Raw genomic sequence first — 13,898 nt, 5'->3', positions numbered from 1 at the left:
GAACCATTTGGCAACTCATAAAATATTTTATTTTTAATAGTCATCATTTTCAGTGAATTGTAATAAAATTCAATGGCTATTGTCTCGGAGATAGAGGACTATGCTGAACTACGTAGTGTGCCACAGTGGGGAAAAACCAGGCTTTATGGTGAGAATGACTGTGTTTAAATTCTGATTCTGATACAGATCAGAACTACAGTAAGATATCATCTCACCTCAGTTAAAATGGCTTTTATCCCAAAGACAGGGAATAACAAATGCTGGAGAGGATGTGGAGAAAAGGGAACCCTTGTACACTGTTATTGGGAATGTAAATTAGTACAATCACCATGGAGAACAGTGTAGAGGTTCCTTTAAAAACTAAAAATAGAGCTACCATATGATCCAGCAATCCCACTGCTGGGTATATACCCAAAAGGAGGGAAATCAGTATATCAAAGAGATATCTGTACTAACATATTTGTTGCAGCATTGTTCACAGTAGCCAAGATTTGGAAGCAACCTAAATGTCCATCAATAGGCAAATGGATAAAGAAAACATGGTACATGTACACAAGAGTACTACTCAGCTACAAAAAAGAATTAGATCCTGTGATTTGCAACAACATGGATGGAATTGGAGGCCATTATGTTAAGTGAAATAAGTGAGGCACAGAACTACAAACGTCACATGTTCTCACTTAATTTGTAGAATGTAAAAATCAAAACAATTAAACACATGGAGATAGAGAGTAGAAGGATGATTACCAGAGGCTAGGGAGGGCAGTGGGGTGTGGGGGAAGGTGGAGTGGTTAATAGGTACAAAAAATATGGAAAGAGTGAATAACACTGGCCTTTGATAGCACAACAGGATGACTATAGTAAAAATCATTGTACATTTAAAAATAACACAAAGATTTTAACTGGATTGTTTGTAACACAAAGGATAAGTGCTTGAGGGGACGGACACCCCACTTTCCATGAAGTAATTAATACCCATTGCATGCCTCTATCAAAATATCTCCCATATCCCATAAATATGTAGACCTACTATGTACTCAAAAAAAATTTTTTTAACTAAAAATAAGTAAATTATAATTCTAACACTTCTTAACAACTCATCATAATACTCAGGACAGAAAATATATTTAAATAAAAGTTACTAGACTGAAGAATACTTAGAGGCTTCTGAATTTCTAGTATATAACTGTTGAGCACTGATAATTCCATTTATTCATCCAATAAATATATACTTCAGATGCTTGTCATATGTAAGATAGTATGCTAGATGCTATAGGAAATACGAAGACATATGAAATAGAGTCTTTTACCCCTGGGAGTGTACAGCTCAGGTAGGGACCAGTGAGACAAATACACAAATGAGTGTAGCACAGCGCAATATGAGAGCAGTGACAAGTATGTTACAAAGAAAGCTGCCTACTGGGGCTATTACTTACTTCTGAGCAATCCAGCTTCTCACTTTGGTGTGGCAAGGAGTGTTTGAATGACAAGTAGCCCAAGCCATAGCCTAGGCAACACGTAAGACCTGTTTCTGAATCTCATAATCCAGTTGTTCTACCTCCACCCAATCGATGTGTAAAAATTTCTAGTTACTTTGATGTGTCCTCTTAGATTTAGCAAAGGGAACCTCTACAAGGACAGTATTTGTAGAATACAAGAGAAGTTCCAGAGGCACATCTACAGGTTATGAGAACAAATTTATACATGAAGTGTTAACCACAATACCTGGGATTTTCTAAAAAATCTGATAATATAGAATAATATGGGGGAAACACATAAGCAGTTTTCTCTCTCAAAATTGGAGATGACTCTGAAGAGGACAGTTGGAGAGGCAAGTATAAAATCTGAGGAACAGATAAGAAGAAATGATAACCATTCACCAACAACTACCAAACATACAAGAAGCTATGACCATGATAAATTTGGGAAAATTCATCCTGAGCCACATGCCCAAGCCAGCCCATCTGTCAGGATGGTCAGAGAGAGCTGTGAGTAAGGGAAAGAACACACAACAGGTGCCAAGATCCCTGTATTTGATGGCCTTTCATATCTCCTACAGTCTGTTTTACAACAGAGCTGTTTACCCTCTTTTATTATAAACTGTATTTGTGATCATAGGGCTTCCAGCTGTGATTGCTTTTAGAAGGTCCGTTTTTTACGTGTACATAGTGGCATAACAAGTCATTCCTGCCCAGCCAGTCAATTTCAGGCTCAGATTGGGCCAGCCATTTTGTGGATGAGCTATGTCTTTTTCTTTAATTGTTGCTGTAAACAATAAGTATTTTATGCCTGGAAAGATAATTTATTTAACATATGCTTATTAAACACCTCCCAAAACTAGGCAGTATGTGGAATACAGAGATATATAATATAGACAAGTTCCCTGCCTTTGTGGAGCTTACAGTGTCATGGGGTAGTTTAGCATTAAATAAATAATTATGTGATAATTAATTACAATTATGGTAAGTGCTTTAAAGGGAAAGTACAGAATGTTGTGAGAAACTTTAATTTGAAAGGATGAAGTCAGGAAAGTAAGGTCAAATTAAAATTTTAAACATCTTGTGCATTTCCCCCATTTAAAATATAGAAAGGTAAGATTACTCTCATAGTTGGTTGATTACATTCAAGAGATATCTAAATTTGAAAAGATAGACTTATCCACAGAGGCATAGGATTCTTAGGAGTTTAATCCTTGGCTAGGTGTGGTGGCTCATGCCTGTAATCCTAGCACTTTGGAAGGCCAAGGCAGGCAGATCACTTGAGGTCAGGAGTTCGAGACCAGCCTGGCTAATATGGTGAAACCCCATCTCTACTAAAAATACAAAAATTAGCTGGGCGTGATGTCGGGTGCGTGTAATCCCAGCTACTCGGGAGGCTGAGGCAGGAGAATCACTTGAACCCAGGAGGCTGAAGGTGCAGTGAGTGGAGATCGTACCACTGCCCTCCAGCCTGGGTGACAGAGCAAGACTCCCCCTCAAAAAAAAAAAAAAAAGAAGTTTAATCCTTTAATCGATGACTGAAAGGGTAGACATTATCAGGTTTAACATGATTTTTCATATTTTGTAGTATAACAATTACCTTCAGGCCAGCAACATCTAATTCTTTCTAATTTTTATTTGAAAGATTAGGAAGCAATGAAATGTTCCTATTCATACCAGAGCTTTTAGGAATTAGTTGAATTATTGGAACTAGAAGATGTATTAGGCTTCAGGAATAAGGCCAGTCTTGATTAGCTATCTCACCTAAGAGAATGCTGAGCATATATTCAGCCTTGAGTAAGCATATATTGGGGAGACAAAAAAGTGAGAAATTAACTATATGAAATTTCCAGTTTTATAGGTCACAAATATTGGTGGCTTTATATGGTTCTGCCTAATAAATAAATGACCAAAAAGGGAACCTACACTCTAGTGTAGACAGGTGTGGGTATTTATTATTAAAGCTAAGTATATGTATATTGGCTATACTTCTGAATATAACAAATGGGAAATTCTGTTCATGAATTAACTTTTAATTTTAAATGAATTCGTGATTTAAATATGGGCAGATGGTATAATCATTTCAGAAGCTAAAAATATTCTAAGAGATTTTCAACTTAGATAACTTTTGTTATTCACACTTCATGAGTGTGAATGTAATGGGGAAATACTAAATTGGTAACCAGAGCTTTAGTGGTGTGGTGTGGTGTGGTATGGAATGAGGTTAACCAGAGTATTTTGCTTTTGGCCTCTTTCTACACTGACCCAGGGATTACTTCCTAGTCTTTGTTCTCCCTCCCAGTCCTTAGTTCCAATACTGACAGTCTCCAAGTTTATCTCAGAAAAATCAGGAGAAAAGGAGAAGAGAACTAATAATGAAAATGAACTAAGTGCCAGGTCCTTTGCTAGATAGTTTGTATATTATTGCACTTAATTCTCACAGTGACCCTATAAGACAAATATTATTTCTGTTTTGCAAGTGAGGAAACTGAGACCTGGAGAAGTTAAATAACTTATACAAGGTCACACAGTTTGTAGAGTTAGGATTCAAACATTCTTATTTCCACTATGTACCATGCTGCTCATCTTATTGTTTGTTTGCTTATTTATGTCCTATACACTTTAAAAGTCTCTTATTTAATTATAAGTTCATATAGGAATAAAAAAGGGATTACCATTAGTTTTTTTTCTCTTTTTTTTCAAAAAAAAGTTATATGTCAAAAAATATTTGAATCTTTTTCTTTAAGGATGAACGTGAAGCCAGAGAAAATGTGAAGAGAGAGCAAGATGAGGCCTATCGCCTTTCACTTGAGGCTGACAGAGCAAAGGTAGGCTTGGTCAAGTACTTCTGGGATAAAGAACTCAATTGTTCATTATTTAAATGCCAACCTTTATCACTTTGATCCCTAAAAATACTGGGTTTGCAATAGAGAAAGCTAGATTTAGTTAACAGAAAGAATATAATCCTATCCATGGTTATTAAAGCATGGTTCATTTTGACAAAATAAAGTTTGTTTCATGAAAAATGAGAACAAAGATGAACCTAGTATCTATCTCATTTGTTTCTTAGTTGGTCTATGATAGAAACCAGCAATTTTTGGAAAGCTCTTTAGGTGATTCTCATGTGCAGTCAGGGTTGGGAACTATTGATTTATTGAATACTACTTAAGCACCTGCTTCTGTGTTGAGCTTTGAAGGAGAGAGAAGTGAATAGGCCACAGTTTCTGCTCTCAAAGGAAGTTTCACAATGTGGTAGAGTTGATTAAGTAAAGAACACAAGTAGCTGTAACATAAGCCAAGAATCCTAAATGTCCTAAGGGAAGCACTGAGTTCTGTGAGAGTTCAGTGAGTAGGAGTTTCAGTGGAAATTTTTTTCCAGGTTTTTTTTGGAGAGCCAGGGAGTGGGACTATACTGGGAATGTTTCAAAGAAGAGATGGTATATGTGAACTGGACAGAGAAAGAGCAGTAGGAGGGAAGAGGAAACAGTATAAGCTAGCATCAAGGGTCCAGAATGCATGGAGGATGGATAGAGGCTGATTAAATAGCTTTAGATTTGGGTACAGGGTAGATAGAAAAGGTCAGAAAGGAAGACCAAAGGATGTCCTGAAGGATCTTGAATGCCACTTTACCCAGAGCTATCAAAGGTATTTGAATAGGAACCTAACATTATCAGAGACCTATGCTTTGTTTTTGCTTTCATTTCCATTCTTGTTCTAGAAACATTTCCGTTACCACAATATACCTCTGAGTCATGTTGACAATGAGCCTTTGAATGTCACATACTCTTTCTTTCCTCTTTTCTTTTTTCTCTTTCCTTATTTCTCTCTTTCTTTGTAAACAAGTATGTGTTAAGTGCTTGTTCCTTTTCTGTTTTATCAACAGAGGGAAGCTCACGAGAGAGAGATGGCAGAACAGTTTCGTTTGGAGCAGATTCGCAAAGAACAAGAAGAGGAACGTGAGGTGGGGCATAATTTTAAGAAAAGTTATTCAAAAGCTGGGTTGTATTTGATACTGAAGCTGTTAACCTACCTTCCTTCCTTCCTTCCTTCCTTCCTTTCCTTCCTTCCTTCCTTCCTTCTTTCTTTTTCCTTCCTTCCTTCCTTCCTTCCTTCCTTCCTTCCTTCCTTCCTTCCTTCCTTCCTTCCTTCCTTCCTTCCTTCCTTTTTGAGATAGAGTCTTCGCTCTGTCACCCAGGCTGGAGTGCAGTGGCACCATCTGGGCTCACTGTAGCACCATCTCGGCTCGTTGTAGCCTCCACCTCCCAGGTTCAAGTGATTCTCCTGCCTCAGCCTCCCAAGTAGCTGGGTTGACAGGTGCACACCACCATGCCTGGCTAATTTTTGTATTTTTAGTAGAGACAGGGTTTCACCATGTTGGCCATGCTGGTCTCGAACTCCTGACCTGAAGTGATCCACCTGCCTTGGCCTTCCAAAGTGCTGGCATTACAGGCGTGAGCCACCGCACCCAGCTGCAAAACTGTTAATATTTCTTACAACTTATTTCTCTCTACTTTTCCTAGACTCATTTTAGTATGGAAGACCTAACGTTTCCTTAATTATTCCTGATCTGTTGTATGGAACTCTTAGAAAACTTGATCTTGTACTAGATTCATGATTTTCTATAATCTTTGCCTTTTGTGCCAACAAATATTTGTTGGCAAATATTTCTCATCCTTCCTGCATATTGTTTCACCCTAAGAATAGAAAGATTGTATCTCTTCTCCCTTCCACAGTCTTCACTTTACCCACCAAAAGATACTGTGAGTTACTTTTGTAACATCTTGCATTGAGCTCCCAAATATGGGAAATTCATTTAGCTTCATTGATTTTTTCCATGAGTTCATGTCATGTCCATAGCAATATAGAGGATTTTTCTTCATTCACTCATTTTGCAAACATTTTTGGGATATGTACTATGTGCTCCAAATCTGTTAGGGAACAGTGATGCAGACATGGATCCTGCTCTCCAGGAGTTCCTACTCTTATAAAAATAGAATTATAATACTGTATGTAAACGTTATTATAGAGGTATGCCTAAGGTGCAGTAGGCACAAACAGAATGGGGGTCAAATGACTTCCTAGGCTGGCTTCATAGAAAAGAACATTCAGAACTTTTTTCCAGATGTAGGATTAATGGCAAGATTCACTTATAAAAAGAGGAAGCCATCTAACAAGCAATGGAAAGGCCTGAAGGGCCCTAACTGGGGTTGAGGAAAACTCTGTTAGTTATTACTCTCAGTCAAAGTATGACACCACTTTCACTTGTTTAACAAATGTTTTTTGAAGAAGACCTGTGCTGAGCACTGCCAGGGAAACAAAGGATAATAAAACGTTTTCTGCCTATAAGAAGATATTACATCTTAGAGGGAATATACAGCCTGTCTAGGAGTAACAGCAAATCAAGAAAAAATGTGCTAAATGACATAGAAATAAAAGCAAAATACTTAGAGAGTTCAAGGCCAAAGGAAAAATCTTTTACAGCTGAGATAATCAGACAATGTACAGATGAAGTAATATTTGAGTCAGGTCTTAAAAGATAAGTGAAACTTAACTGTTTGGAAATCAAAGTTTATTCATGTCAAAACTGTTGTGAGTATCTATCACATATATACAAGATATTATGCCTGACAAACCCTAGTCTGCACTCTGAGGACTGTCAATAATGGAAGGTAGAAAATATTTTGTTGAATGTCTTCTGTGTATTAAATAGTTTGCTAGCTGCTTTACGTATGCTTATCAATTAACCATTAAAACAAGCTACAAGGTTAGAGATTTATCTTTATAAGTGAAAAAAACTGAAGTTCATTGAGGAGTTACACATACAAAAATGAGAACAGCTGAGATTCTCATCCAGGACTTTATGACTATAAAGCTGTTTCTCATACTCCATTCCAGTACAAAACCCTATATCATTGTGTCCACAGGAGTCATATATGCCAAGTTTCACAAAAGTTTAGATAAGGGAGAAATTAGTCACTATCCTTTTAGGCTATTTCAAGAAATATAGTTTAGGATTCTTGCTCCTTTATGCTGTCGTTCACACATGCACACACTCTCTAGCTCTGTGTGTGTTTGTGTGTGTATTAGTGTATCGTCAACCATACTGGCTTGCTAAAATGTCAAGGGTACACAATTAACTCAGTGTTCTGGATCTAAAGCTTGGCAGCGTATGTAATTTCATCTGATGATTTATCTAATTTACCATGAGCTGAAACTTTCTTTCTTTCCAAATGTAGATAAAAGCCCATCATCTTACAGAAGACCCTATAAACATAATTCAGTATATGCATTCCAGCTGTTAACATGTGAGAGGTTGGGGTACAGTGGGGGAGAGGACAGGCCATATTTTGCACCTAGTCATTACTTAAACTTTTCTATTGATATGCTCCCATAAAATGCAAGTTTGGATAATACTATGCACTCTATTCTCCCTTAACCAAGTGTCACAAAGGCTCTTATAAATCCCACCATTAAGAAATGGTTTATTTTCATTTAGTCCAATCTTATCCAAACTTATTTGCCCCTTTTTTAAATGGAACAACAATTAACATATCATGGCACCCTAGTGTATCACAAACCACTGTTTGGGAAAAGCTGGTATTGTGCAACCTCTGAAGAAACTGAGACCCAGAAAGATTATATGGTTTACCTATGGTCACCAAACTGGTTGAACACCTAATCTGGATCAGAAGCCGGGTCACCTGACTTTTCACAGCAACACTACCTGTCTTCTAACTGGAAATCCTAACCCATATAATTACATTGAGAAACAAGAGTGGTTTTATTGTTTTGATTATCTTCAATATTCTAAGATCCTTTAGAAAAAAGAAGTATTGAACAGTAAAATCACCTTGGTTGCAGGGAAATTCCTTAATGGTTAGCCTCATTTTGCTGTGTGATAACTGTTGGAGTGAAATCAAACATCTAGAAAAGTATATTGATCTGGTCATTGGCCCTAATAAGGAGAAAGGCTGTAAGACTATTCTGAGGGAAAAACAACAGCAAAGATCTCCTGTTTTATTAATTTATATATGTACTTATTCTTTCCAAAATCAGTTTCAAGAAACTTACATGAATACATGCAATTCAAAGGGATTAAGAAAGAGTAGATATAGAAATAAAGGAAAAGGACAAAGGAAGATAATGCCAAAGATAAGACTAACATGTTGACAACAGATAATCTAGCACAAGCACCAAATCCATGTGATAGGGTGCTGTACATTTGTTCCATAAAATCTGTTCTATACTTATCTTGGGCCAAAACAAAGGAAAATATGATAGTTTACAAGTTTTACTTTGTGCGTAACATCAGATCTGAAGGCTAGTTTCTCAGAATTTTTCCACATTTTCTAGCAATGAGATTTTAGAGCAACGTTTCCTATATTCCTGTTCAAGAGGAAGCTGTGCAATGTAGTGAATACTAACCCCAACTATATCTAATAGCTACTGTGACAATGGCAAGTTATGTGTGACAATGGCAAGTTATGTATGACAGCTCCTTAAAACTTTTTAAATGTAATTCTAAATCATAAGGCTAAAGTACAATATAGTAAAATCATCCCTGCAAAGGCCCAAATACTACATTTTTTCTGATTAAGGGATGGACTTTATAGTAACTAGAGAAATGCGTGAAATATATATACTCCAAGAAAGCCTTCCTGAGTACTGCCTTTTTCTACTGAGTTTTTGGTAAGCAGAGAAATTTTCAGCTAAGGTTTTTGAGTCTCAGATCTTTTATTCACTCAATATTTAGCAAATATTTAGTTAATCTCCTTCTGTGTGCAAATTATTAAATCAGGTGCTGTGGACATTATGCTGTAGGTGCGAGGCATAGTCCAGCCCTCAAGGAGCTTACTGTCTAATGCAAGAGGGTAGACAAATGCAAAATCACTACAGGAAAAGATACCATACATTATAAAAACCACTAAAATAGCACAGGATGTTTATTTGGAGGAAGCTGATATCTAACTAGGAAGGCAACAAGAAAGACTTCACGGTGCGCCCGTAGAGATGTGAATTTAAAAAAAAAAAGACTTCACAGACTTTGATGGTTAAAGATGAAGTAGAAGAGCATTTTGTCTGGACTAATGAATAGATGGATGGATGGTTGGATGGACACCAAAGGGAAGTGCAAGAGTAGTCATGAACAAAAGGGGAACGGCACAGGGCTTGCTCAGGGAACAGTAAATGAACAAACTTAGAACACAGTCGAATTATTAGAGCTATGGCTAAAAGGCCTGAATTTTGGCGAATCTTGGGTGAATTAAAATAGATACTAAGCTATTCCCTTTTGCTGATGGTTCTCTAGAAAGAAAAGTTAATTTTTGCCTGTCTACCCAAACTGTTTCCTTTTATGCCTTCGTGCCACCTTAAGTAGAAAATATTAAGTAATATTAATGACTACTAAGTGGGAAAACAGAAGAACATGGAATTAGAAACCTTGGCACTTCCTCTTCAGTTTTCTGTTTCACCTCACAACCACTCTACAAAATTGGTAATATGGTTTGACTCTGTGTCCCCACCCAAATCTAATATCAAATTGTAATCCCCACATGTTGAAGGAAGGGCCTGCTGGAAAGTGATTGGATCATGGGAGCGCCATTTCCCCTTGCTGTTCTCATGATGGAGTTCTCACAAGATCTGATGGATTAAAAATGTGGCACTTCCTCCGTTGTTCTCTCTCTCTCTCCCCTGCCACCATGTGAAGAAGGGCTTTGCTTCCCCTTCGCCTTCCACCATGATTGTAAATTTCTTGAGGCCTCCCAGTCATCCTTCCTGTTAAGCCTGTGAGTCAATTAAACCTCTTTTCTTAATAAATTACCCAGTCTCAGGTTGTTTTTTTGTTTTTTTGGTTTTTTTTTTTTTTTTTTTTTTTTTTTTTGAGACAGTCTCGCTCTGTTGCCCAGGCTGGGGTGCAGTGGTGCAGTAGCACAATCTCGGCTCACTGCAACCTCTGCCTCCTGGGTTCAAGTGATTCCCCTGCCTCAGCCTCCTGAGTAGCTGGGACTACAGGCACCTGCCACCACGCCTGGCTAATTTTTTATATTTTTAGTAGAGACGGGGTTTCACCGTGTTAGCCAGGATGGTCTTGATCTCCTGACCTCCTGATCTGCCTGCCTTGGCCTCCCACAGTGCTGGGATTACAGGTGTGAGCCACCGCGCCCAGCCTCAGGTAGTTCTTTGTAGCAGTGTGCAAACAGACTAATACAATTGGTAAGGATGATATTATTATTACTGTTTTACAGAGGATGAAAGTAAGATTATAGCAGGATTTAAAAACCTATTTTTGGCCAAACACAGTGGCACATACCTGTAATCCCAGCTACTTGGGAGGCCGAGGTGGGAGGATCAGTTGAGCCTAGGAGTTCAAGGCCAGCCAGAGCAACATGGCAAGACCCTATCTCTATTTAAAAAAAATAATAATAATAATAATTTCTTTTTTTTATTATACTTTAAGTTCTAGGGTACATGTGCACAACATGCAGGTTTGTTACACATGTATACATGTGCCATGTTGGTGTGCTGCACCCATTAACTCGTCATTTACATTAGGTATATCTCCTAATGCTATCCCTCCTCCCTCCCCCCACCCCACGACAGGCCCCGGTGTGTGATGTTCCCCTTCCTGTGTCCAAGTGTTCTCATTGTTCAATTCCCACCTATCAGTGAGAACATGTGGTGTTTGGTTAAAAAAAACAATAGTTTTAAAAAGATATTTTTAAGCCTACTTTTAAATTTTTACCTAACGTATAAGCCTGATAAAAGCAGAACCAGAGCTTCTATCCAGTATTCATTCTACTTATTAATCCAAATTCAAAGAATGAAGGTGGGACCATAAATTGGTTATTAAGGTAAAACTGCTCTTTATAATTTGTATTTTTATCTTATGTAAGTTGCTTTTGTCCACACTGGGCCATAATTATAATCATCCCTGTCATCATCATCATTGGCATTATCACCACTATCGCACAATTAATATGTGCTAAACTCAGTGGTGATCACTTTATAGGCATTAATTATCTTATTGAATTTTTACAATTCAATAAGGTAGGTGCCAATACATAAATATACCTTATTATAATTATGGAGACTATATATATATGTATATCCACTATTTCTTCAGTACTTTCAGTTTGAAGTGTTCCGTTGTTCTCATGAACCATTAAAACAGTCCAGAAATTCTAGCTTCATGGTGTCCAAATCACAGCCTACAGACTGTTCTTTATATCCAGAAGCAAGCAAAAATCATCTATTTGAATTTTGATTTAGGAAATATGATCATTTGCCTTACTTACTTTATCCAGAAATGAGGTCATAGTAGTAGAGTAGTAAGCTATCCATACTCTCCAGGTTGCCAGGAATAGAGATTGACTGCAGAATCGGGTCAAATCAACTGTCTCTATATGGGATCCATTCTACTCCTTTGGTGATCTCATCCAGTATTATGACTATTATATTGACTATATTATATGGCTATATTATATTGTCTATACGTTTGACTCCCAGATTTATATTTCCAGCTCCTCCCTTTCCCTGAACTCCAGACTTGAATATCTAACTGCTGGCCCATCATGTCTACTTAGATGTCTCATATACATCAGAAACTTAATATGTTTTAAATTGCACAACTGATCCTACCCTCCCCACCCAAACCTGCTCTTTCTGCAGTCTTCCCTATCTCAGTAAATGGAAAATCTTTCCAGTTGTTAGAGCCAGAAACCTTGGAATTATCCTTGACTTATCTCGTTTACATCCATATTTAATGAGTAAATCCTGTGGGCTCTGCAAATATATGCAGAACTTAAATGTTTAACTCCACCACTATCACCCTCATCTAAGCCACCATTGTCTGTTATCTGGATTACTTTAGTAGCCTCCCAACTTGATTCCACATCTCCATTTTTGCCTTTCCTATAGTCTTAATAAATCCTTTAAAAATCATTTGTCACATCATGTCACTTCAAAAACTTGCAGTGGCTTACATCTCAAAATAAAACCTGAATTCTTACAGTAATTCTAATCAAATATCTACAAGATTTTCTATAGAGATTGATAAACTGATTCTTAAATTTATATGAAAAAGCAATAGAACTGGAATAGTCTAAACAATTTTGAAAAAGAAAACAAAGTTGGACGTTACTAGAGTGCAGGACTTACTATAATCAAGACATAGTGGTATTTACAAAAAAAAATGGACCCATGAATCAATGGAGTCCAGAAATAGACCCACACATATATGGTCAATTGATTTTCAACAGAGATACAAAGGCAATTCAATGGGGAAAGGATAGTCTTTTCAACACATGATGCTGCAACAATTGAATATTTATATCCAAAAAAAATCCCATAGAAAACCAGTTTTAAAATGCTTCAATTCATATATTGCATCACAAGCAAAAATTAACTCAAAATGGGTAATAGACCTAAATGTAAAATCTAAAACTATTCAAGTCCCAGAAGAAAACGTAGGAGAAAATCTTCATGACCTTGAGTCAGGCAAAGATTTCTTAGATCTGACACCAAAGACACAACCTATAAAATAACAAATATGTAAATTAGACTTTATCAAGATTAGAAACTTGTACTATTTATAAAATACTGCTAGGAAATTGAAAAAACAAGCCACAGACAAGGGGAAAATCATATATCTGATGTCCAGAATACAAAAAGAACTCTCAAAACTCAATAATAAGAAAGCAACCCAAGTATTAAAATGAGCAAAATATTTAAAAGACACTTCATCAAAGAAAATATACAGAAGGCAAATAAGTGCATCAAAATATGCTCAAAATTTTTAGCCGTTAGGGAGATACAAATTAAAACCACAATATATGTACACCTTTTAGAAGACTTTTTAAAAGAAAAAGGGACAATACCAAGTACTGGCAAAGATGAGGAGCAACTGAACTCTTACACATTAATGACGGGAATGCTAAATAGTACATCCACATCCACTTTGGAAATTAGCTTGAAACTTTCTTGTAAAGTTAAACATGCATATACCATATGACCCGGCAGTCACACTCCTAGGTATGTATTTACACAAGTGAAATGAAAGTAACAGTAAACTGCTTTCACATAAAGCAGTTTACATTCATACAAAAATATGTATGAAAATGTTTTTGGCAGCTTTATTTGTAGTCATCTAAACCTGGAAACAGCTCAGGTGTCCCTCAACTGGAGAAGGGGTCATCAAGCTGTATGTGTATCTATACAATGGAATACTACTCAGCAATAAATAGAAACAAACTACTGATATATTCAACAACATGGATGAATCTCAAATATATTATGCTAAGTGAAGGAAGTCATTTATGTAACATTTATGGTTACATTTATATAACATTCTGGAAAACACAAAACTAGGATCAGAATAAAGATTAGAGGTTAGGAGCTAGGGATGAAGAAATTTGAACGGGG

At 36.8% G+C, this 13,898-nt stretch overlaps 1 protein-coding gene across 5 annotated transcripts in view; it reads left to right on the top strand.

Moving 5' to 3' along the window:
• FAF1 (Fas associated factor 1) overlaps positions 1-13,898 on the top strand; it is a 523,240-nt gene that overhangs the window by 464,241 nt on the left and 45,101 nt on the right. For all 5 annotated transcript variants that reach the window (NM_007051.3, XM_047442745.1, XM_047442743.1 and 2 more), the window contains 2 exons: positions 4,226-4,306; positions 5,362-5,439. In NM_007051.3, coding sequence (NP_008982.1) covers positions 4,226-4,306; positions 5,362-5,439 — 159 coding nt within the window. The remainder of the gene's footprint in view (positions 1-4,225; positions 4,307-5,361; positions 5,440-13,898) is intronic.

This window comes from Homo sapiens, chromosome 1, assembly GCF_000001405.40.
Source record: "Homo sapiens chromosome 1, GRCh38.p14 Primary Assembly".
Classification (NCBI taxonomy): domain Eukaryota; kingdom Metazoa; phylum Chordata; class Mammalia; order Primates; family Hominidae; genus Homo; species Homo sapiens.
This window is presented reverse-complemented; position numbering and strand designations above follow the sequence as displayed.